Genomic DNA, 2,569 nt, shown 5'->3' on the forward strand with positions numbered 1-2,569 from the left:
CAGATGCTATGATTAAGATGTAAAATCAGAAAATCTGAGTCTAGATCATTTGTTTCACTATTAAATAATTTTCACAACTATTAACAGTCTTCATCAATACATTATTGGGCCAAATTAACTATCACTGAAAAATTCCAATGAATTATTTTTAATACTTTATTTTACAAATTTTATTTAGCAAAATAAGTGTAGTAAGTAAAAGGTAGCTCAATTCCAAAATCATTGTGTAGGTAAAGCTGTAGAAGAAAGATGCCTATTTTATTGGGAATAGTTTATAATTACCATGAAAATACTCAGTTCAACCTGATAAACTACACAATCTAAGTCTATTTAAAAATATGTGGTGGTATTTAATTTATTATCATGAATTAGGTATCTCGCTAAAGTTCTACTTCAAAGAAAACCTAAGTATGTCAGTCCAAGTATACCCATTTAACAAATGTACTGATGCTCAAAGATATTAACACACATTTTATTCTCAAGTCTGGGACATTGTCATCTTGACCCCTGTATACTGCTGTTAAACACAGAGGATTTACTTCGAAGCTTTCATTTAAGGAATTGAGTTATTATCCTTTGCTTGACCTTTGTCTATGGCATATTTATCACAGTGCCCTGTAAAACCATAATGTGTGAGAAAAGTGAGAAAAGGAAGTAATATATTTGTGATTTACAAAGAAAGAAGGAATACATATAAATCAGACTTTTAAAATGCATTAATAGGTACCTCTTACATAATTCATTTATAGTCCAAAATCTCTCCCTAAAAATGGTTTTTGTATGTTTTTAAAACAAACATTAGCAAAAGTTACTTCAAATTAATCATGATCTATGATTTCCAGTATCTATTGCCAGATACTGTTTATATTTATTACTAGGAAGAAAAGAGGGAAGCAGCATTATTTTTTAAAGTACAGAAAGAAATAGTTTTCAAGCTGTTCCCGTAATGAGCTAGAAATAGTAACCCTGTCAAATTTAATATAAAAATAGTGTTATAAGCCTATGGCATCTATTTATTACTGGAGAACAAAAGCCTTCATCCATTTCCTTTAGAGAATGACATTTTTGTAATTCGCTGCCCATTTCATTTGTTCCAAAGGCCTTCGTGGGGTGACAAATATCCCACAGAAATGGCTACTGATACTTGATAGGATAATGTGCAGCCCCTCAGGACAAGGGCAGAGGCAGCAAACTTATCATCCTTTAGTTTAGCTTAGCATGGGTCACTAACAGCGCCAGAGGTGACAGAAGATGTTAAAGTGTGGGAAGCAAGAGCTGAAAGCTGTAGGAGGGGAGTTTTTATAGTTTATCTTTCTTTTGCCAAGAAGCTACGGAGACAGCTTGAATCACATTGTTGATTTGGTTCACTGCACGCCGCACTAACTGTTTCTGGAAAAGAAGAGCAAGGGGGAGAAAATCCAACACTTATGGGTCATTCTCACCAACAGCATGTGGCATTTCAACATGTCCTATAGGAGGAGGAAATGCATATTTAATATTTTAGTTTCAAGTTCATATTTTAAGAATGCATTATCCTGCTGGAAGGTCTGTGGTGAATAATCAGTAGGACGTCATTATATCAACCTGATAATCTTGCAGAGGAAAAAGCGATAGCAATGTCTTTCATTTGGGAATTTTCACAATATTGTTTTCTGTGTTAGTGTGGATAAAAAATGACTAGTATGACTCTTCTTAAAATTTTTAACTTACAAATGTTACAAAAATGTTGTACTTTAAATTTATCATTAGCATTTGTCCATTAAGGACAATTGACTTGCATGAAATCTGAATATACATATTTTATTCCCAAGAAAATTAAATCAGAATAGAACTCTCCCTTAGAATATCATGAAAGAATGATATGCACCAGCTGGTATATTACTTCTGATTCTATTAAAAGATCATGTGATCAAATTCTTCTAAACACTTCTCAGTTTTAAAAAAAGAAGAAAGTAAAAAGAAAAACATAAGTTCTTCATTAGGCAGGTATCTCTCATCATGGCTGTCATTGCACACAGTGACACTCACGGAAATATGATGGTTATGTTGTGATGTCTCTAATAGCACATCTAGTAAAATGATTCTGTTTTTGCAATATTAAGAAATCACTTTTTTATGTTACATGTGATTTGAATTAATTCATTTTAAAATTTCATTTATATGATGCAAAAATTCCTGAATAACTGATAGGAAAAAGAACTAAAAATTGTGACCTTGTTTCATGAGCAAGATGTCAACTCCACCTGAGTAACAGTTTTGATGAGTATCTGAAGCATGATGTCCTGCATTAGAACTGTCAGGGCTTCTTTGATACATTTATTTCTCTTCTTTAAGCAGAAGAAAAAGGTCCACTTCTGGATTTGTTTCTGCTAATAATAATAAAATGTGTGTTATCAACAGATAACAATATTAGAACTTAAATATATTAGGATAGTTTTAATGGAGTAGTAAAATTATTTGCAGTTTGATATGAATATAAGGCATGTTATAAAGTATAGAGCATTTTCTGGCAGACTCCTTTTATTCCAAGCATATATGGAAAATTACATAATGCTGAACTGCAGGAAGA

At 32.0% G+C, this 2,569-nt stretch overlaps 1 annotated feature.

The window, feature by feature from the left end:
* Nucleotides 282-2,306: an enhancer, noted in NCBI's record as "VISTA enhancer hs1233". NCBI's record gives its function as "enhancer in: neural tube[3/4] | other[4/4]" and the evidence as "EXISTENCE:transgenic organism evidence [ECO:0001131][PMID:17130149]".

Source organism: Homo sapiens, chromosome 6 (assembly GCF_000001405.40).
Source record: "Homo sapiens chromosome 6, GRCh38.p14 Primary Assembly".
Taxonomy (NCBI): Eukaryota; Metazoa; Chordata; class Mammalia; order Primates; family Hominidae; genus Homo; species Homo sapiens.